Source organism: Homo sapiens, chromosome 16 (genome assembly GCF_000001405.40).
Source record: "Homo sapiens chromosome 16, GRCh38.p14 Primary Assembly".
NCBI lineage: Eukaryota > Metazoa > Chordata > Mammalia > Primates > Hominidae > Homo > Homo sapiens.
This window is the reverse complement of record NC_000016.10, coordinates 1,333,535-1,352,166: the sequence shown is the minus strand read 5'-3', so window position 1 is coordinate 1,352,166 and position 18,632 is coordinate 1,333,535. Positions and strand designations below refer to the sequence as shown.

General features: G+C 65.6%; 3 protein-coding genes across 11 annotated transcripts in view, besides 6 other annotated features; 1 reads left to right on the top strand and 2 right to left on the bottom strand.

Moving 5' to 3' along the window:
- GNPTG (N-acetylglucosamine-1-phosphate transferase subunit gamma) overlaps positions 1-236 on the bottom strand; it is a 12,183-nt gene extending 11,947 nt beyond the window's left edge. The window contains exons 1-2 of the mRNA NM_032520.5: positions 150-236; positions 8-65 (exon numbers count right to left, since the gene is read on the bottom strand). Of these exons, the coding sequence (NP_115909.1) occupies positions 8-65; positions 150-201 (110 nt within the window). The 5' untranslated portion in view covers positions 202-236. The remainder of the gene's footprint in view (positions 1-7; positions 66-149) is intronic.
- Positions 12-711: a silencer, noted in NCBI's record as "silent region_6972". NCBI's record gives its function as "represses an Ori minimal core promoter by ATAC-STARR-seq in GM12878 lymphoblastoid cells {active_cell/tissue: GM12878}" and the evidence as "EXISTENCE:reporter gene assay evidence [ECO:0000049][PMID:35858748]".
- TSR3 (TSR3 ribosome maturation factor) lies at positions 289-2,927 on the top strand. Its single transcript, NM_001001410.3, has 6 exons — positions 289-474; positions 569-788; positions 1,167-1,360; positions 1,933-2,109; positions 2,215-2,278; positions 2,559-2,927. Exons 1-6 carry the CDS (start codon positions 363-365, stop codon positions 2,728-2,730), a joined length of 939 nt encoding a protein of 312 aa, NP_001001410.1. The 5' UTR covers positions 289-362; the 3' UTR covers positions 2,731-2,927.
- Positions 2,728-18,522, bottom strand: BAIAP3 (BAI1 associated protein 3). Of its 9 annotated transcripts, none has more exons than NM_001286464.2 (34): positions 18,418-18,522; positions 13,487-13,627; positions 13,178-13,265; positions 12,923-13,054; positions 12,564-12,671; positions 11,186-11,245; positions 10,972-11,038; positions 10,678-10,873; positions 10,301-10,345; positions 10,104-10,181; positions 9,884-9,986; positions 9,533-9,640; positions 9,353-9,448; positions 9,151-9,254; positions 8,654-8,774; positions 8,021-8,145; positions 7,850-7,940; positions 7,642-7,698; positions 7,469-7,566; positions 7,318-7,369; positions 7,068-7,198; positions 6,795-6,918; positions 6,277-6,420; positions 6,089-6,181; positions 5,806-5,997; positions 5,657-5,725; positions 5,483-5,562; positions 5,212-5,320; positions 4,798-4,869; positions 4,542-4,622; positions 4,346-4,466; positions 4,150-4,273; positions 3,866-4,071; positions 2,728-3,788 (listed from the first exon to the last, which is right to left on the bottom strand). In NM_001286464.2, exons 2-34 carry the CDS (start codon positions 13,615-13,617, stop codon positions 3,685-3,687), a joined length of 3,510 nt encoding a protein of 1,169 aa, NP_001273393.2. In that variant the 5' UTR covers positions 13,618-13,627; positions 18,418-18,522; the 3' UTR covers positions 2,728-3,684. The 9 variants fall into 9 exon arrangements, with proteins under 9 accessions (NP_001273393.2, NP_001186026.1, NP_001186027.1 ...); NM_001199097.2 differs by having other exon boundaries at positions 12,923-13,003; NM_001199098.2 differs by having other exon boundaries at positions 12,564-12,602; positions 12,923-13,003.
- Positions 8,554-8,603: an enhancer, noted in NCBI's record as "active region_10222". NCBI's record gives its function as "activates an Ori minimal core promoter by ATAC-STARR-seq in GM12878 lymphoblastoid cells {active_cell/tissue: GM12878}" and the evidence as "EXISTENCE:reporter gene assay evidence [ECO:0000049][PMID:35858748]".
- Positions 8,794-9,253: a silencer, noted in NCBI's record as "silent region_6971". NCBI's record gives its function as "represses an Ori minimal core promoter by ATAC-STARR-seq in GM12878 lymphoblastoid cells {active_cell/tissue: GM12878}" and the evidence as "EXISTENCE:reporter gene assay evidence [ECO:0000049][PMID:35858748]".
- Positions 9,510-10,058: an enhancer, noted in NCBI's record as "H3K27ac-H3K4me1 hESC enhancer chr16:1392110-1392658 (GRCh37/hg19 assembly coordinates)". NCBI's record gives its function as "activates a minimal SCP1, AML or CMV promoter by ChIP-STARR-seq in primed H9 embryonic stem cells {active_cell/tissue: H9 hESC(primed)}" and the evidence as "EXISTENCE:reporter gene assay evidence [ECO:0000049][PMID:30033119]".
- Positions 12,949-13,798: an enhancer, noted in NCBI's record as "H3K4me1 hESC enhancer chr16:1388370-1389219 (GRCh37/hg19 assembly coordinates)". NCBI's record gives its function as "activates a minimal SCP1, AML or CMV promoter by ChIP-STARR-seq in primed H9 embryonic stem cells {active_cell/tissue: H9 hESC(primed)}" and the evidence as "EXISTENCE:reporter gene assay evidence [ECO:0000049][PMID:30033119]".
- Positions 18,473-18,632: a silencer, noted in NCBI's record as "silent region_6970". NCBI's record gives its function as "represses an Ori minimal core promoter by ATAC-STARR-seq in GM12878 lymphoblastoid cells {active_cell/tissue: GM12878}" and the evidence as "EXISTENCE:reporter gene assay evidence [ECO:0000049][PMID:35858748]".

The window sequence follows — 18,632 nt, the reverse complement described above, 5'->3', positions numbered from 1 at the left end:
TGCTCACCCAAACGCGTTGGGCTCCTCCACCACCTTCATCTTCGCTGCACCTGCCGGCGCGGGCCCTACGGGGAGCGAGACCGTGAGCGGGGAGGCCGGGGTGCAGAGCGCGCGCGGGGCCTGGGGACGCGGACGGCCGGGCCACTCACCGCCGGCCGAGAGCCCGAGGAGCAACAGGAGCCGCGCCAGCCCCGCCGCCATCGCGCCGCAGCGGCCGCCGCGCGGTCACGTGAAGTGACGGTCACGTGACCACGGGGACCGGAAGTGGCGTCCGGCGCAAGCGCTGGCAGCCGCACAGCCCATTGGGAGGCCGAGGGGCGCGGCCGTGGGGTGGGGAGTCCCCGGCACCCCAGGTCCGCGCCATGGGCCGCAGGAGGGCAGCGCGCGGGCCGGGGGCGGAAGGCGGCCGCCCTCGGCACCTCCCGACGCGCTCCCTGGAGGCCTTCGCCGAGGAGGTCGGCGCCGCGCTGCAGGGTGAGCGAGGCGTGATGGGGAGAGCGGGTCAGGGTTTGAGGGCCTGCCCGGGGGTCCCACGCTGAGGCCGAGTGCCCTTCTCTCTCTCGTGCAGCTTCCGTGGAGCCAGGGGCGGCTGACGGCGAGGGCGGCCCGGGCCCGGCGGCGCTGCCCTGCACGCTGGCCATGTGGGAGTTGGGCCACTGCGACCCCCGGCGCTGCACGGGCCGCAAGCTGGCCCGCCTGGGGCTGGTGCGCTGCCTGCGCCTGGGCCACAGATTCGGCGGTCTGGTGCTGAGCCCCGTGGGCAAGCAGTACGCGTCCCCCGCAGACAGGTAGGCGCGGGAGGCCTGCCCGAGGTCGTCTTCATTTCCAGCGCGTGGTTCCCTTCAGGGATGGTTTAGTGGCACTTGTATGTCGCACCCACATCCACACCCACGTGGGCAGGGAACGTCTGTCTAGTTTGCCTCCGTTGCGTAGCGCAGAGCCTGGGATAAAGGAGGTTTTGGGGTAATAAACGTTTGTTGAGTGAATAAACACATGCTCCAGGTGCCCCAAGCAGCTGCCTCAAAAGCTTGCTCGTGAAGTCCGTTTGAGGGTGTTTGGGGATGGCGGAATGATGTCCCTGAATCCCTTAGCTAGGCCATTCTCCGGGGCATGCTCCACCTTGGGTAGTGCTGGCTCCTGAACTTATCCCATGCTGTCCCTGGCAGACAGCTGGTGGCGCAGTCTGGGGTCGCCGTCATCGACTGCTCCTGGGCCAGGCTGGACGAGACACCGTTTGGGAAGATGCGAGGGAGCCACTTGCGCCTGTTGCCCTACCTGGTGGCCGCCAACCCCGTGAACTATGGCCGGCCCTACAGACTTTCCTGCGTGGAAGCGTTTGCTGCCACCTTCTGCATCGTAGGTGAGTCCAGGGGCCCCACAGCAGTGTGACCCGGCGGCCTGCTGTTCCTGCTATGCTCCCAGCATCATGTTTCCTGCCGACAGACCCCAGGAGGAGCATAAGGGACGGACAGGGGAACAGTTCAGACAGACCACGGTTCCAGCCCCAACTGTCACTTCAGGTTTTCGGCCTGTGGAGTTGCAGTAGAGGCAGAATGGGATCGCTGTTCTATCAGGGCCGGTGTGTGGGGTGCCATTCATTATCAGGGCACCACTGCCCAGAGAATCCTCCTTATCCTCCACGTCCTCCTTACTGAATTGCTGATCTAAAGAGGCCCTGATGAGGCGTGGGGCAGTCTTGGTGGGAATGTTTGTTTCGCAGCAAAGGAGGGGGACTTGGTCGGTTGCAGAGGTGTGGACTGTAGCAAGGGAGGTGCAGGCTGGGGGCAGCACGGGTTCTCAGGACTGTGAGCTGATGTTTGCTGGGGACCCTGCGGTTACTTGGGAGAGCGCCGCCATCCGGCAGCAGGGTGATCAGGAGGCACTTGAGGGGACCGTCGACTTCTTTGGGTTTCCTGTTTCTCACACCGTCAGGCTTTCCAGACCTTGCTGTCATTTTGCTGCGGAAGTTTAAATGGGGCAAGGGCTTCTTGGACCTGAACCGCCAGCTCCTGGACAAGTACGCGGCCTGCGGCAGCCCGGAGGAGGTGCTGCAGGCGGAGCAGGAGTTCTTGGCCAATGCCAAGGAGAGCCCCCAGGAGGAGGAGATCGGTGAGCCTTGGCGGGGTGGGAACCAAGGCCCTCCAAAGCCTGGGGGGTGGGAGGCCTGGTCCTGCTCTGAGCTCACTTAGAGGCCACTTTCCTCTCTCGGCTCAGATCCCTTCGATGTGGATTCAGGGAGAGAGTTTGGAAACCCCAACAGGCCTGTGGCCAGCACCCGGTAGGTCCTTGGGCTTAATTTCATGATCACTCAGACCCAGGGCTCTCTTCTACCTCTGGCCTGAGCCCTTCCTGCTGCCTGGGGGTGGTGTTGTAAACAACACCCCGATGGTCTTCTGACTAGAAAACCTGCAGTGCATGTCCCACTGGAGAGGTTTGGGTGTGGAGAGCACAGGGAGGAAGAGGAATCTGTCCTCGGCTGGGGGCTTTTTGTGGATGACGTTGACTCCAGCTAGCCAGGGAGGACGTCATTTGGGAACGTGCTCCCCCTCCTCTCCCAGGCTGCCCTCGGACACTGATGACAGTGATGCGTCTGAGGACCCAGGGCCTGGCGCCGAGCGCGGAGGAGCCAGCAGCAGCTGCTGTGAAGAGGAGCAGACGCAGGGACGGGGGGCTGAGGCCAGGGCCCCGGCTGAGGTTTGGAAAGGAATCAAGAAACGGCAGAGAGACTGAGGGTTGCAGACACATATATTTTTGAGGCTGGGTGACGAGAAAATCTAGAGACATGAGGGACATAAATGGGCCTGGCAGCCTCGGCTCTTTGCGGCTGCTGGCAGGACTGAGCTGTCCGGGTTCTCCCCACACTTCCAGCACAGCTGTGCTCTGTGTCCTGCCTCGGCGCTCTCGCAAATGAAGCTGCAGGCCAAGAAGCCCCTTGTGAGTCTGTTTTTCACACTGGGCCTGGGGAAGGGTTGGGGCGAACTCTCGGCTCTGCCTGGAAGGGTCGTGGAGCAGGTCTCAGGTGGCCACGGATATGTGCGTGAAGGACAGCTGACCAGTTGGCACGGAGCCCTTCACACTGACCACCAGCCTTGGGTGACGTCCCTGGCCTCAGAGTGACCTCAGGGGAACCTTTCCCCGGCCTGGGAGCCCCGTGGGGACTGGAGACCTATGCGGTTCTTGACTCACCTGCCCTTTGCATCCCCTCTGTGGGTGGAGGCTCTGGACCATCCACCCAGTGGTGCCAGTGGCACCCTTTTCACTCCCCAGCTGTGATTACCAAAAATGCGTCTGCACATTGCCCGTTGTGCAGAGAGCACAGCCACTCACTGAGTCCCTGGAGACCAGCTGCCCACCGCCCACCCAGGGCCGGGGAGCCCAAGGAAGCGGGCAGGGAGGCCCACCAGGTGGTCAAGCCCGCTCTGGCCTGCACTGTGTCCTGGGCAGCTGCTGGCCAAGTCCTGCCAAGTTGGCCACCCAGATGTGGGGTTGGGTGCAGGGGTTCACAGCACACACCAGACAGACACGGCCAGGGCGGTAGGCGCCGCGGGGCCAGCCACGACACACACGTCACAGCACAGGAGGGGCGCCGTGGGCCCTGGTTGCACAAAGCTGGCCACAGTGAGCTGGAGGATGCTTCAGGGAACTTGGGGTGGGGGCCAGGGCCGGGGCTGGCAGCTGATGGACTCAGGGGTCCGCCTCCATGCACTTCTCCAGCTCCTTGAGTTTCTTCACGAACTCCTGCGCCTCCTTGCTGGTGCGGCCTTCCAGCCTCCTCAGCGCAGATCTCACTGCAAGCAGCGCGGGCAGGTGTGTGGGGGCCGGGGTCAGGCCCGCTGCCCCTGCCTCCACCCAGATGCTCACTCACCCTGGGCTCTGGGCCGGCACAGGTGCAGGGTGACAGGCTGCCCAGCCCTTGCACCCCCGCCCACCTGGGGCCGGGCGACACCAGTGACGCCACCTAGGCCGAGGGCCGCCTCCCCAGCGAAGTCGTTGGTGGACAGCCAGTCGTGGTCCATGACGGTGAACAACACACAGGCCGCGCGGCGGCGGCACGCCTCGGCAGGCACGGAACTGCGGACAGAGGCCAGTCGGGAGTCTCGCTCCGGCAGCCTGGAGCCTGGGGCTGGGGCTGGGGCTTAGGACACTCACAAGTAGAAGAGTTCGTCGTATACAGGGTGCAGCGTCCGGGTCTTCACCTGGGTCCTCTGGCTGCGGACCAGTGGAAAGAGATGCGGTGGGCCCAGCTCCACGATCACAAAGGGGTCACTTAAGCCTGCAGGAGCACAGTCGTGAGCCCCCCTGCCCCCATCCCACCACCACCCGACCCGTCCCCGCTGCAACTCACCGTTGGCGTCCAGGGGGAGCAGGTCCGCGGCGTGCAGCACCTCCACGGCCAGCCGCTGCTCAGCCGCCTCGTAATGGCAACGGACGCTCAGGCGTCCAAACCGGTTCTGCTCCAGGGTCCTCTGCGGAAAGGCGGGTGAGCGCAGCTGGGCTCTGGGAGCCTCGGAGGCAGCACCCTGTCCCTGGCGCCTCCCTACCTGTTTGAGCTTGTCCAGGTAGAACTGCTCGATGCACTCGCGGGTGGAACATTTGTGCAGCCGCAGCTCCTCCTTCAGCCTCTGCAGGGGGAAGCGCATCAGGAGGGGCCCCTGGGTGCTGGTGGTCAGCGCTGGCACTTGGAGACCTGACTGCCCGTGGGGCCACCTCATGCTCAAGGACACAGCCCGTGTGGGGCTGCAGTTTGAACTCAGTCCCCTCATCCACACCCCCGCCCCACAGAGGGTCCCACCTCACCTTGTAGCTTCCATCCCTCAGGCTCTCCAGGGGCAAACCCTGACCCTCTGCGTGGAAAAAACTGACCAGGGCCTGGGGCAGGGAAAGAAGGCAGAGGTGTCAGGGAGCCTGGCTTGTGCTGGGGACAGGTAGAGACCCCCAGCACAAAGGGGCCCAGGCAGCACTGGGGGCTCAGCAGCCAAGGGCAGAGCCCTTTCTCACACCCTGGCGGGCATCGGAAGCTCCCAGGAAGCGTGGGGAAAGGCCATCACCAGAGGCCACACCTCGGCATTAACGGGAGGAGGCGCTGTGGACAGCCCTGGAGTGGCTGCTCTCCAGCCACAGGAGACCAGGCAGGCCAGTGGGGACAAAGGGAGGGATCAGAGCAGCCCTGAGGCGGGGGCCGGCGGGGAGGACTCCTTCACAGAGCTCTACCTCCAGCGTGAAATGGAAGCGGCTGTAGAAATCAGCAGAGACGTCACGGTTTGCACCCAGCGCCTGCAGAATGGCCTGGAGGAGTAGCTCCCACAGGGCCTCCAGCACCCTGCAGGGCAGCATCAGTGACCACGGGCCAGCCCCACCTGCCCCGCTGGCCCCACCTGCAGAATGGCCTGGAGGAGTAGCTCCCACAGGGCCTCCGGCACCCTGCAGGGCGGCCTCAGTGACCACGGGCCAGCCCAGCCCATCCCACCCCACCCGCCCGCACCTGCTCAGGTTCCCCTTCACCAGCGAGGCGTTCAGCAGGGCCAGCTTCTCATCCAGGTACTTCATGAGCGGGGCCACGGCCTGCGGGCAGGGGTGGTCAGGCCAGGCTTACCCCGCACCTCTGCCCTACCCCCAGTACACACAGTCCTCCACGGCCCCTCGCCCCGGCACTCACCTCATCGTTCTGGATGGAGTCAGGCGAGAGACTGATGTGCTGTACATACTTGCGGATGTCGCCCACCATCTGAGGGCAGGAGCAGTGCTCAGCACGGGCAGGGGGCACCAGGGACTGCCTCCACGCCTTGGTCTCCAGGCCCCACCCACCTTAGAGGTCAGGTGCGCTGTCACCGTGTGGGCCTCCCGTTGCAGATCATCGTCCAGGGCCTGTGTGCAGCTGAGCAGAGGGCGGGGGAGCACCCCCTCGGGCCCCGTGGCCCCCTCTGGCCATGCCAGGCCCTTCAAGGCCTGCCCAGCAGCCTTGCGCACGAGCTCCACATTGTTGAGGACCACGCAGAGCTGGAGGAGGTGTGGCCAGGCAACGATGGGTCCGGGGCCTGGTGATGGCCCCCCACCTCCTGCCGGCTCCCCTCCCCAGCTGGTCACTCACCGCCTCGCTCACTGCTTCACCGGCCGCCCCTGGCTGAGTGTCCACCTTCTTCCGAAGCAGCTCCGTATAGAAGAGGGTGGCCTCACACACGTCCTGAGGAGGGGATGGCGGTGGGGAGCCATGGAGCCCTCCCCTGCCCCATCTCCTCTCCCACCCGTTCCCCTCACCCCCAGGGCCCACCCACACACCTGGCCAAGCTGGGTGCCCAGCCCCTGAGCCTGGGCAGGGTCAGGCCACGCCAGGCGCACCCACAACTCCTGGATGTGGCTGAGGCAGAGACCAGCAGTGGCTGCGGAGCTGCTGTGCCTGGAGGAGGCGTCCACGGGCTCCAGCTAGGGAGGCAGGGGAGGCTGGGTTTGCTGGGGAGGCAGGGGAGGCTGGGGAGGTGGGGGAGGCGGGGGTTGTGGGGGAGGCTGGGGTTGCGGAGGAGGCCGGGGAGGCTGGGGTTGTGGGGGAGGCTGGGGTTGCTGAGGAGGCTGGGGTTGCGGGGGAGGCTGGGGTTGCTGAGGAGGCTGGGGTTGCTGGGGAGGCTGGGGTTGCTGGGGAGGCTGGGGTTGCGGAGGAGGCCGGGGAGGCTGGGGTTGAGGGGGAGGCTGGGGAGGCGGAGGAGGCTGGGGGTTGCTGGGGAGGCTGGGGTTGCTGGGGAGGCGGGGGAGGCTGGGGGCCTGGACCAGCCCCAGTGTCCTCAGGCCAGGGCAGCTGTCACCGTGTCCATGTCCACGGCTCCCTGAAGCCTCCACTTGGCCTGGTCCCTCAGCACTTGGAACCAGAGCTTCACAGCAGGCAGGAAGGGGGCGTGGATGCCAGCCAGGGCCAGAGAGCGGCTGTCCCTGTGGTGGGAGGGTTGTGAGGGCTCGGCCCTGACTCAGACACCTTAACCAGCACGTTCCAGGCTCACAGCTCCAGGACCGTCCCCCTCACAGGTCCTGGGGCCCTGGTCCCAAAGTCTGTCTGCAAGAGATAGGGACGGGGCACCCACCGGCCAGGGATGCTATCCCAGAAGCGCTGGAGGTCAGCCAGGGTCAGGTAGAGCTCAAAGAGCCCCGAGGCCACCTCCAGGGTCATCTTGGGGCTCAGCTCCTCCGTCAGCACCCACGCCTCCTCAGCCACCTGTCCGGGACAGCAGGATCAGGCCTCCAGCAGCAAGGAATCCCAGGACCGTCCTAGCCAAGGGCATCTGCCCACTTCCCCATGCCTGGCAGGCACCCGGGGTCAGGGACCCTCCTCACCAGACGCTCCAGCTGCCGGAAGGTCAGGGTGAAGACGTCCACATTGAGGATGCTGCAGAGCAAGGGACACACCTCATCCACCTGCGCCCCACCTGCAGGCCCTGTTGGCTCCGACCCCAGCCCCAGGACAGCACTGAGGGGCCAGGCCCACCTGTGGAAGAGGCTGGCGTACACACTGTAGCAGAACTGAAGGTCATCATAGACGGCGTCAGCCAGCACAACCAGCCCAGGCAGGCGCTGTGGTCCTGGCTGCAAGGAAGCCTAGCTCGTACCCACCTCTCGGCTGCCCGTACCCCTCATGGCCAGGGTCCCCCACAACTGCACCTGCTCTCGGGGACTCTTGTCATTCAGGATCCTGTCGTACCACTCACGGTTGCCTCTCTGCAACAGACACCACCAAGACAGCATGGTGGATTGCAGGGAAGAGGAAGAGGTGGGCAAGAGACCGTGGTGCAGAGGTGCAGGGGACGGGAAGGCAGGGAAGGGGAAGGGAGGGCTTAGCAGCCGGCCTCCACTGGGCTTTGGAACACACCTTCAGGGCCGCAGCAATGTCCATGTTCAGCTCCGACTCGAAGGGGCAGATCTCAAAGGAGGGTTGGAAGAGCTGCAGCTTGCCCAGACACCTGGGTGGGGGCAGCACGCTGACGTGGGGCCTGCCCTGCCAGCCGCCCCCACCCACGCTGACACGCGGCGCTGCACCCACTTCAGCAGCAGCTCCAGGCGGTGGACAGCGGTGCTGTTGGTGGCAGGGAAGTAGTCTCGGAGCTGGCGCAGCAGCTGCAGCCCGAACTCAGAGAAGGCGGAAAGGCTATCAGCCAGGCTCTCCTCCTGTGGGGACAGGGCCCTTCAGTGCCAGCAGCCCCGACCGGCCACTGATGAGGAGAAACATCCTCCCTGCCTTGGCCCGCAACACCCTTCCCCGGGCATGGTCAGCCCAGCTCTGCTCTGAGCAGCACCCTCCACAGGCCCAGTCGGCCTGTCCCAGACGGCCTGTCCCAGCCTCGGTTTCCACCCACGCAGCTCACGTAGGGCCTGTGCCCCTGCAGTTCCCACGTCCGTCCTGCCAGGGCCGCTCCCTCCTGTCGCTCAGATGGGCGCCACCTTGGCGGCTTTCCCCAGCCCTGTCCTAAGTCCTGGCCGCCCCCCGAGGTGACTCCCACGAGTCTCCCGTCTCCTTTCTGCAGAGCGCTGGCTCTCGCCCACGTCATACAGTTTGTCCATTTGTCTTTGACCCCCACGCGGGCAGGACTCTGCCCCTCGCCGACCGGCACTGAGCGACCCCAGTCCCCAGCACTCCCTTCGCCATGGCTGGCAAGAAGGTCCCGGCTGCACCCACCTGCTCCTGGGGCAGTGAAGGAGCCTCTTCCCAGTGTGCCTGCATGTCCTCCAGCAGCCCCAGCAGGTAGCTGTAGTCCAGCGTGCAGGTTTGATGGTGGCGGCTGCTGACCTGCCAGTGCCTGTGGGGCCCGGCCCATGGTCAAAGGGTATGAACCCCGCCCCTGCCATGCCCACTCAGCACCGCCTACAGCACTACCCCTTTCTCTGCCCCACCCAATCAGCACTGCCGCGCCTACTCATAGCACTGCCCCTTTCCCTGCCCTCCAATTAGCGCTGCCGTACCTACTCATGGCACCGCCCCTTTCGCTGCCTCACCTACCCGTAGCACCGCCCCCTTCCCTTCCCGCCCAATCAGCGCAGCCCCACCTACTCAGCACCGCCCCTTTCCCTGCCCCACCCTCCCAGCCACGACATCCACTCACCGCATGGCCCCCGATGCCCCACTCGCTCACGCCCGCCCACATTCCCCGCCCACTCGTAGCTCCACCCACTCACAGCACGGCCAGCTGCAAGGGTGACAGGTTGCTCTGGGCTCCGTGCAGGCAGAGGATGGTGGCGGCTGGTGTGCTGAGCTCTCCTCGCCAGCTGCTGGAGTTGGGCTGGGGGAGGAGGTCTGTCGTGGGTGGAGGCGGGACAGCCCCACATCCCCTCCTCAGGCCCCCTGCCGGGCTGTTCCAATCCTAGGCGCACCCACTACCTCCTCTGCTGAGTGCTCCAACCGCAGCAGATGGCTGAGCAGCAGCAGGTGGGACAGGAAGCCGGATCGCCCGCGCTGGCTCATGGCCGTATCCCTCTGCAACGCAGAGCCCACCCAGTCACCAGCTCTGCCCCCGCCCCAAGGACGGGGGTGGAGGACGGGGACGCCCACTTTCCCCACCTGCGTAGTGATCAGCTTGAGAACCAGGTGGCAGTGTCCCTGCACACGCGAGGCACTGGAGCGTGGCTCCAGCTTGAACCAGCGGTCGACGCCAGCCACAGGCACCTCCTGGGGGTAGCATGGGGGTCAGGCCCACCAGACTCCTCCCCCTCCCCTTCCACACTGACTCTGTGAGACCCTGGAGAGACCACATGGCCTGGGCTTCCCTTCTCCGGGGAATGAGGGTGACAAGCGCACTCAGTGGAGGCCCAAAAGCAGGAGCTTCTCCAGGCAGTGCCCTGCCCCTTGAAGGCTGGGACACTCCCCAGGCCCTTCTCTAAGTGTCACCAGCCCCACCCCACACCCACTCACCCGGACAGGTATGTTGAGGCACCCCAGGAAGTCATCGGTGTGGTCCTCGGTGGGTCCTGCTGTCCCGTTTGCGCGGGCTGACTTGACGATCTGTTTGAAGTACCTGGCCACCACAGGTGGTGAGCATCACGCTGATGGCTCCTGGGGAGCCACTGCCCGCCGGGCCCCATGACCAAGCTGAGGGCACGGGTGATGGGTAGAAAGGTCCCAGCAGTCATACCTGCCCATGCCCTTCAGGCCGATGACTTCATTCAGCTTCCTGCACGCTTCTACCAGGGATACATCGTCGTCATGATCCCTGGTGGGGACAGGGGAGGACCTGGCTTGTCTGGAGCCCGCAGCCGGGCCCTGAGTCCGTCCTGCTCCCCCGCAAAAGGTGTGCATCCCCGCCGCCCTGCATGGCGCAGGGGCCTGTACCAGATGTCCAGGTGCAGCTGGTCCGTGCTCACATCCTCAATCTCGCTACAAGGAGAACAGAGATGCCCATGAGGGTCCCCGGCGAGGCTCTGCCCAGGCCGGGGTCAGGGAGTCCAGAAGCAGCAGGGACCAGGCCACAAGCACCCGCTCTCCAGACAGGCTGTTCAGGTCCAAATCCTGATCCCGCCAGGTGTTGCCAGCCGTGTGGCCCCGGTGGCACAACGCCCATCTCTGGGCCTCAGTTTTCTCCTCTGGAAAGTGGGCACACGGCCCCAAAGAGACCGGGAGCTGCTGCGAGCCACCACCCTCCAGGCACAGCCCAGCTCTGGACCCCAGGCAGAGCCCCCCTCCCGCACCCAGACGGGCGAGGGCCTCACAAGAGGAAGTGCTCCTTCCAGACGGGGTTCAGGGTGCTGCTCTTCACCTCGGTGACCTGGATGCACTTGGCAGGCAGGGGTCCACCGCGCTTGCTGCCCTTGCGGAAGCCGAAGCGCTGCTCCTTCTGTGCACGGGGCTCCCGCGTGGCGTCCGAGGCAGGCAGGATGCCCAGCATGCAGTATGGGTCGCTGAAGCCTGGGCACGGCAGGCGTCTCAGCCCTGGCCCCACGCCCTCTGGCCCTCCATGGCCGCCAGGCCTCGGCGCAGCCGAGGTCTGCTGGGTCCCCACTCACCGTTGGGGTCCTTGGCCAGAAGGTTCTTGGCACGCATGACAGAGACTTTCAGGGCATACGTGGGGGCCTGTGGACAGAGGGGCGTGGGGGGCCTGGTGAGGCTGAGCTGCCCCCCAGATGCCCTACTTAGCATGGAGGTGACAGGGCCTTGCCCCGTGCCCCCGCCACGCAGGCACGTGCTGGTCAGTGCCTGCCCAGGCAGTGGCGGCCTCACCTTGGCCTTCCTCACTCGCTCGATGGCCTCAGTGTGCTCCTCAAGGCTGGTGCCAAACACCTGTGGAGGGTGGCTGGGTTGGCAGGGCCTAGGCAACCCCTGAAGCGAGGCTGGCCACTGTGCTGGGACCTCGGGCTCAGCCCGTCACAGACACCCAACCTCAGTCCTCACGGGTGCAGGGTTGGGGGAAGCCTGGGAGGCAGCGGCAGAGGGTTTGTGCCAAGGGGCCTGGGCATGCCCAGAGATGGTGGGTGTGATGAGGGCCACGCAAGTGCATGCGTGGGAATGGGGGCCACGGGAGGACAGGGGAGTTCAGAGCACATGCAGGTGGAAGCCGGGAGCGTCCTTCGAGGTGCGTCTGTCAGCCTATGTGCATGTATGTGTGTGTGTCTGTGTAGACATGCAGCCTGTGTGTGTCTGTGTGCACCTGCAGCCTGTGTGTGTGTGTGCGTGTCTGTGTGCACCTGCAGCCTGTGTGCGTGTGTCTGTGTACACCTGCAGCCTGTGTGCGTGTGCATCTGTGTGCACCTGCAACCTGTGTGCATGTCTGTGTACACCTGCAGCCTATGTGCGTGCATCTGTGTGCACCTGCAACCTGTGTGCGTGTCTGTGTGCACCTGCAGCCTGTGTGCGTGTGTCTGTGTGCACCTGCAGCCTGTGTGCCTGGGCATCTGTGCGCACCTGCAGCCTGTGTGTGTGTCTGTGTGCACCTGCAGCCTGTGTGCGTATGCGTCTGTGTGCACCTGCAACCTGTGTGTGTGTCTGTGTGCACCTGCAGCCTGTGTGCGTGTGTCTGTGTGCACCTGCAGCCTGTGTGCGTGTGTCTGTGTGCACCTGCAGCCTGTGTGCCTGTGCATCTGTGTGCACCTGCAGCCTGTGTGCCTGTGTCTGTGTGCACCTGCAGCCTGTGTGTGTGCGTGTCTGTGTGCACCTACAGCCTGTGTGCGTGTGTCTGTGTGCACCTGCAGCCTGTGTGCGTGTGCATCTGTATGCACCTGCAGCCTGTGTGTGTGCGTGCGTCTGTGTGCACCTGCAGCCTGTGTGCGTGTCTGTGTGCACCTGCAGCCTGTGTGCGTGTCTGTGTGCACCTGCAGCCTGTGTGCGTGTGTCTGTGTGCACCTGCAGCCTGTGTGCGTGTGTCTGTGTGCACCTGCAGCCTGTGTGTGTGTCTGTGTGCACCTGCAGCCTGTGTGCGTGTGTCTGTGTGCACCTGCAGCCTGTGTGCGTGTGTGTGTGTGCACCTGCAGCCGTCTCTGTGTGCTGTGCACGGATCGGGGAGATTCTGCATACTGTTTGGGTGATGATGGTGTCAGTGGGTGGGGAAGGGGTTGAGGTGGGGAAGCTGTCAGGGTCTGGGTCGGGGTCAGGGTGGGCTGACCTGCTGGAGATAGCTGAGCAGGGCCTCCTCGTCGTCCACCTGGTCAGGGCCCATGGTACCCGCGCGGTAAAGCACCGTGTACAGGGCCTCCTCGTAGAGCATCTCCACCTGCAGGTGGGGGAAGGGCGGCCACAGTGCCGCGTCCCAGGCCCCCAGCCCTCAGCAGCACCTCCTGTCTGCCTGAGCCCAGGCCCCACCTCTGCCTCTTTGCACCAGGAGCCCCTCCGCTCCTCACTCACCCACCCACTCACCCTGGCTCTCTGCCATCACCAGACCCTGTGCACACAGTAGGTGCCTCTAAACGGCTGAGGGAGCAGCCGCTGCAGACGACTGCCCCTGGTTCCGACCCCCACCTTTACCTCCTCTGGGGCCAGGGCTCTCAGGCCGAGGCTGGGATCCACAGGCTCCGGGGGTGCTGGCGAGCCACTGCGCAGGGGGACCTGTGTGTGGGGCCCAGGGTGAGGGCTCTGACGGCAGGGAGAGCCCCAGGCCTGCAGCAGGGAAGACAGGTGGTGCCCCAGGAGGTGGGAGCGAGGGCAGGAGGGAGCGGGGAGGAGCAAAGGGGGAGCCCCATGCTGGGCTGTGGTATCGGGCCCTGGGGGTGGCACCCTTACCTCGAGGCACGGCAAGCCCTGTCTGCCTTCCCCCTTCTTCAGCATGAGGCGCATGTGGGCAAAGAACTCCACGCCATCCCCGGGTTTCCTGGAGAAAGAGCCGGGTCAGCTCACAGCTCTCAGCACGCTGGCCCCTGCCTGGGACCCTCGACTCCAGGGGCAGGAAGGGCCATGTGACATCCACAGTGTGGCACAGCTAACTGCAGACCCTCCTTCCCGCCCAGGGGTGCTGGGGCAGGGGCGGCCATGTGTGAAGTCTGGCGGGAAATGGCCCTGTGGGCGTGTGGGGCTGGGCCCCTCGGCACCCACCAGGCCCCCGTGGCAGGCTCCTGCGGGTCGGCGCTGGCACTCCCTGGGTCCTGCTCAGTCCTGCGGCGGAAGGACGGGCACACCTGCACCTGCCTGAGCACGCTGCTCTTAATGTCCAGCAAGGTCGACATGGCGGGTGACCTACAGCAGAGAGCACAGCCCGCAGCCTCAGGTCGTCCACTCAACCCTCCGTGCACCACAGCAGGCGGGGGGGTGGGGGGGTGGGGCGGGAAGAGGTGGGGCAGAGGCCTGGGAGCTCACCCACAGCCTGGATGGCGCTGGGCACCTGGTCAGGCGGTGAGGGCTCCTGTCCCCACACCTGCTGGGTGACCGGCTAAGTCCCTGCGCCCCCTGCAGGGCGGCTTCAGGGAGGAGGTAGCAAATGCTGTCAAAGGCGGGGCTGGTGCCCACCCAGAGCTGGGGGTCCATCAGGGACTTATGGGGTCTCACTGGCGAGGGAGGCGGTTGCCACACTCGCCCCCCACACCCCTCCCCGCGACAGCACAGCAGGAGGCGCCTGTTTCCTGGGGCTGCATCAAGAGGACCAAGATCTGGGCCACAGCACTCAGCTCCCCCAGCCCCCGTGCCGACTCTGGGGCCAGGACGGATGCCAGGTACCCAGCTCTCCTATGTAGGAGGTAAAAACTCGCCAGAACCCTGACATCCTGGGTGGAGGATGCCCATGTGGCCAGGAGGCCCTGGAGGGGACTGCCTGGGGGTCCTCGCTCACCAAGCACAGCGGGGGTCAATGCCCCCTCCTCACCCCAGGAGCTGGTCAGCAAACCTGAGGTGGACAGTAGAAGGTGGGGGGCAGTGTCCCCACAAAGCAGGGCCTGCTCCCCATAGTTGGTACAAACGAGAACATGAAGCGAGCCGGGCCCCGCTGGAAAATGCCGGGTGTAGGGGCTACAGTTCCCTCCCAGTCCATCCAGCGTCAGTTCCCCTCATGTTGCCATGACAACTGAGCCAACCTGTCAGCCTCCTGCTTGGAGCAGCAGCAGCAGCAGCAGCCCAGATGTCACCGCTGGGACAGAGCTGCCCTCTGCCAAGGCCCGGAGCCTGGGCCCAGGCAGACCCGGAAGCCCCCTGGAAGGCCCCACCCACTTTTTGTTTTGTTTTGTTGAGATGGAGTCCAGGCTGGAGAGCAGTGGCATGATCTCAGCTCACTGCAGCCTCCACCTCCAGGTTCAAGTGAGTTGCAGTGGCGCAGTCTCCGCTCACCGCAACCTCCGCCTTCCAGGTTCAAGCGATTCTCCTGCCTCAGCCTCCCAAGTAACTGGGATTACAGGCGCCCGCCACCAAGCCCAGCTGATTTTTTTGTACTTTCAGTGGAGACGGGGTTTCGCTATGTTGGCCAGGCTGGTCTTGAACTCCTGACCTCAGGTGATCCACCAGCCTCGGCCTCCCAAAGTGCTGGGATTACAGGCATGAGCCAGCACCGCCCAGCCCACCTGTGTCAGGGAGGAAGGCCGGGTGGTCCTGCCCTGCACACCCCCTTCAACAGGGGTAGGATGATGGCTAAGACACCGTAGCCTCCTGAGACCCTCTTCCTCTGCATGGGTGCAGGTGCAGACCCTCCACCTCTGCACTGCCTCTGCCCCCCAGCAGCCCCAGGGAGGTCTCCTCCCCGCTCCATGGAAACTGTCCCAGAGCCAGGCCACCTCTGCCCCACCACAAGAGAGGTACCCACTCTTGGGTTCCTGTCCCAGCCTTGCCGGCCTCTGATTTCTAGGACACCGCGCTCCCCCAGCCCCCCGGGGTCCTGGCCTTGCTGTCTGGGTCCCTTCCCTTGCCAGTGCTCCCTCATCCACCTGCGGAGGGTGCCTCCGGGCTGGGCACACTGGCCCTCGCAAAGGGCATAGTCATTCTCACGGGACAGGAGAGGAAACGAAGACCAGCAGGTTCTACCGCCCACTCAGGCTCTCACGGACAGTTGGCCCTGCATGCCAGGCCAGCTCCCCACAGTGGCACTAGACTCATAAGCTCAGTGGGCAGCGTGGGGGCCTGAGCACACCATGCCAGTGGTGGGTTCCAAACGGACTTTGTCGAGCCAGCTCCCGGGCCCCTGCTGTGTCTGTGGGGGTTCAGGGTCACCAGCCCCAAGCTATACCCACACCAGCTCAGACACCATTCCCGGATATCTCGTCTTGATTCCAGGGTCCCTGCCAGCCCCCGAGCCCTGGGTGCAGGCTCTTACGGGACCAGACCCTAGAGCTGAGGACAGGAAGGAGGGTTTGCGTCTCCCACCCTGTGAGAGGCAATGCTTGCGGGGGGGACTCACCTCCTTCAAACCTATCAGTGCCTTCCCCTGTGAGCCTCCCCCCCAAAAGATGGGGGGGCTTGGTAGGCTGGGTACAGTGCTTCTGGAAGCTGTCACCCCCACAGCCAGTCGTGAAATCCTCAGGGGCCTGGGAGTCACAAGCCCCCTTCCCCTCCCTTGCTGGGTGGAAGAGGCTGCTCCCCCTGCTGTCCCCCGAAGCCAGTGGAGCAGCCGCTGCTGGAGCTGTTGCCAGGGCAACCGCCGCGGCATGTGCGTGTGACAGGGGCGATGGGGGCTCGCAGTCCTGGAGACAAATGTGACGCAGGAGCCAAGTGGCCTGAACTGCGGGGTTGGGGAGGGGGTGTCTTTGTGATAACAAGATGTTCCAGGCAGAAAAAGGGGGCTCGGTACCCTCCCTGCATTTTCCTCTCCACATTCACCTCCTCATCCCCAGAGCGGCCCGAGAGGGGTGCCCTTTGCTCCCTGCATCTCAGATGGGCAAACGGAGGCGCAGGGCTGGGAGCCCGCCCAAGGTCCCAGAGCCAGCAAGTGGGCTGGGGACGGCAGTCAAGGTCTCTTTGGTGTCCCCAGTGCTAAGCTCCTGGGGCAACCAGCTAGGCCAGCCCCCCTGACCCCAACTGCAGCTCCTGCCCCTCCCACTGCCCGTTGCTAGGATGGGTGCAATAATGGCGTCTTGGCACAGGTGTACAGAAGACTTGGCTCATCCTGGGTGCGCAGAAACCCCTTTGGTTCCCCTGGAAACCCCAGGCTTCCTGGGCAGCTGATAGCCTGGCTGCAGCCAACTGCGTGGGCCCTGGGAGCCACCTGCCACAGAGGCCGGAGCTGCTGTGAATGGTGGGCATATGCATCTGTCTGTGACCAGTACAGGAAGCACTGGCTGCCTGGGTGGCTCTCAGCACTTACGGGGCAGGAGTGAGCCAGGTGCAGGGGACCCCCCGTCTTTCCCGTGGGCCCAGACGTGATGTAACTCCTTCCCAGTCTCTCACCCTGGGACAGTAGCATGAGGCAGGATGAACCCCCCCATACTCTGCTCATGCCTGATGCCAGGACCAGAACCACACTCCCATCTGTCCAGTGAGCAGAGGGAGGACCGCCAAGGAGCTCCTGCCTTGTGGCACTGGGGCTGAGCCACACCTGCCCATCCCACCTTGCTCCCTGGCTGTCCCCCAGGCCTGGGCTGAATGGGGAATGACATTTTGCAAGGAGGATGGCACATCTCATTTCACAGCCCAGGGTGGGGGCGACTTGCCCAGAGCCCAGATGTGAACCTGGGACTCTTAAGCCAAGCTGTCTCCTGCCAGGCCATTTGGGGGCTCAGGGTTGGGGGCAGTGAGGCAGCTGAGTCTGGGGGCAGCGGAGCAGAGGCTGGGTCAGCCTTCCTCCCCAGTGCAGGCTGTCTAGGAACAAACGCCTTCAACGTGTTGGGGGCGCCCTTCTTACCACATTTGGGGCAGGGGGTTAGCTGATGGTGCCCTGGGTGTGTGCCTGGGGCGGGAGGTGGCAGGACATCTGCCCCACAGGCTGGCTCTCCACGCTGCCCTCTTGGTCTTCTCTCCAGCTTCCCTGCTCTTCCTCCCTCAGCCCCCCGACTCCCCTTCACCAGGCCCTGGGGGTTTCCCGCAGGAATCTCTCCCTGGTCTCACCGACTCCTCCAGATGGCCCCTGCGAAGCCGATGGCGGTGCCCAGGTGCAGGTCACCTGGCGGGCCCGCTGCAAACGCTGCTCCCCGGGGTCTCATTCCAGTCGAACCCCGGGAATCTGCATTCTAACAAGCGCTGCCGGTGGCCTTGGGCTCCCCGAAGCCTCAGACGGCTGCCAAGGTCCAGCCGCTGGCGCCCAGCAGGAGCGCAGGAGACCGGAGCCCGAGGCGCCTTCTTCCTCCCCTCGCCCGTGTCTGCGCAGCGCTCCCTCCTCCCTCTGCTCACCGACCCCCTCCCTGCCCCGCCTCGCGGCACCCCCTTTCCCGGGGCCCCGGGCGCCCGCAGGAGCCACACCCCCAGTTCTATGGGGGTCTCTCCCCTCGGAGGGGGCGGGCGGTCCGGGGTGAGTCTGGGGGCGGGTCTAGTGTGTCACTTTAAACTCCTCCCCCGGAGACCCCGGCCCAGGCAAGAGCCCACAGCCCTTTGCCGAGTGGGGCTGAAGGAGGGGCCGCTTTGCACTCGCAGGGATTTCGGGGGGACTAAAGGGCCTTACGAGGACCTGCGGGAGGAGGGAAGGGACGAGGACGCTGGGGGGTGCAGCCCGCCCGGGAGGGGTGCTGGGAGGCCCCGGGCCCGTCTGCTCCCCCGGGGAGGGAGGCGCGGGGGTCGAAGCCTCGCTTGGCGGCTCAAGTGCGGGGGAGGCCGTCGCCAGCGCCCGGATACCCTCCCCGTCCGCTCCGCAGTGCGGACCCCACCGCCGCACCCTCTCCTGCGCGTTCGGAGGGGAAATGCCCCCGAGACCCCGCCCCTCCAAGCATGCGCGGCCTCAGTTTCCCCAGGGCCGAGGGGACGTCGAGACCTTCCCACCGCCCCCCGCCTCGGAGGCCACCCCCGTGCCTCCTGGGGGACCCGGACCAAGGGGGCGGCGGCCGTCGGTCCGTCCGGGTTGGGGCGCGGGGCCGAGCCCAGACGGCGGCCCAACAGCACTGGCCGCAGCCCGCGGCACTTACCGTGGGCCGGCGCGGGGATGGGGGGGCTCCTGGGGCGCTGCGCTCGGCACCAGCTCGGGGACGCCGAGGCACAGCTACCGCTCCCAGCCGCGCGCGCCGACGACTGAGCAACTGCTGGGCGGACGCCGCTGCGGGGGCGGGGTCTGACTGGGGGCGGGGCCGGGCCTGACCGGGGCGGGGCCTGACCGCGCTCGCCCCGCCCCCCGCGTCCACGG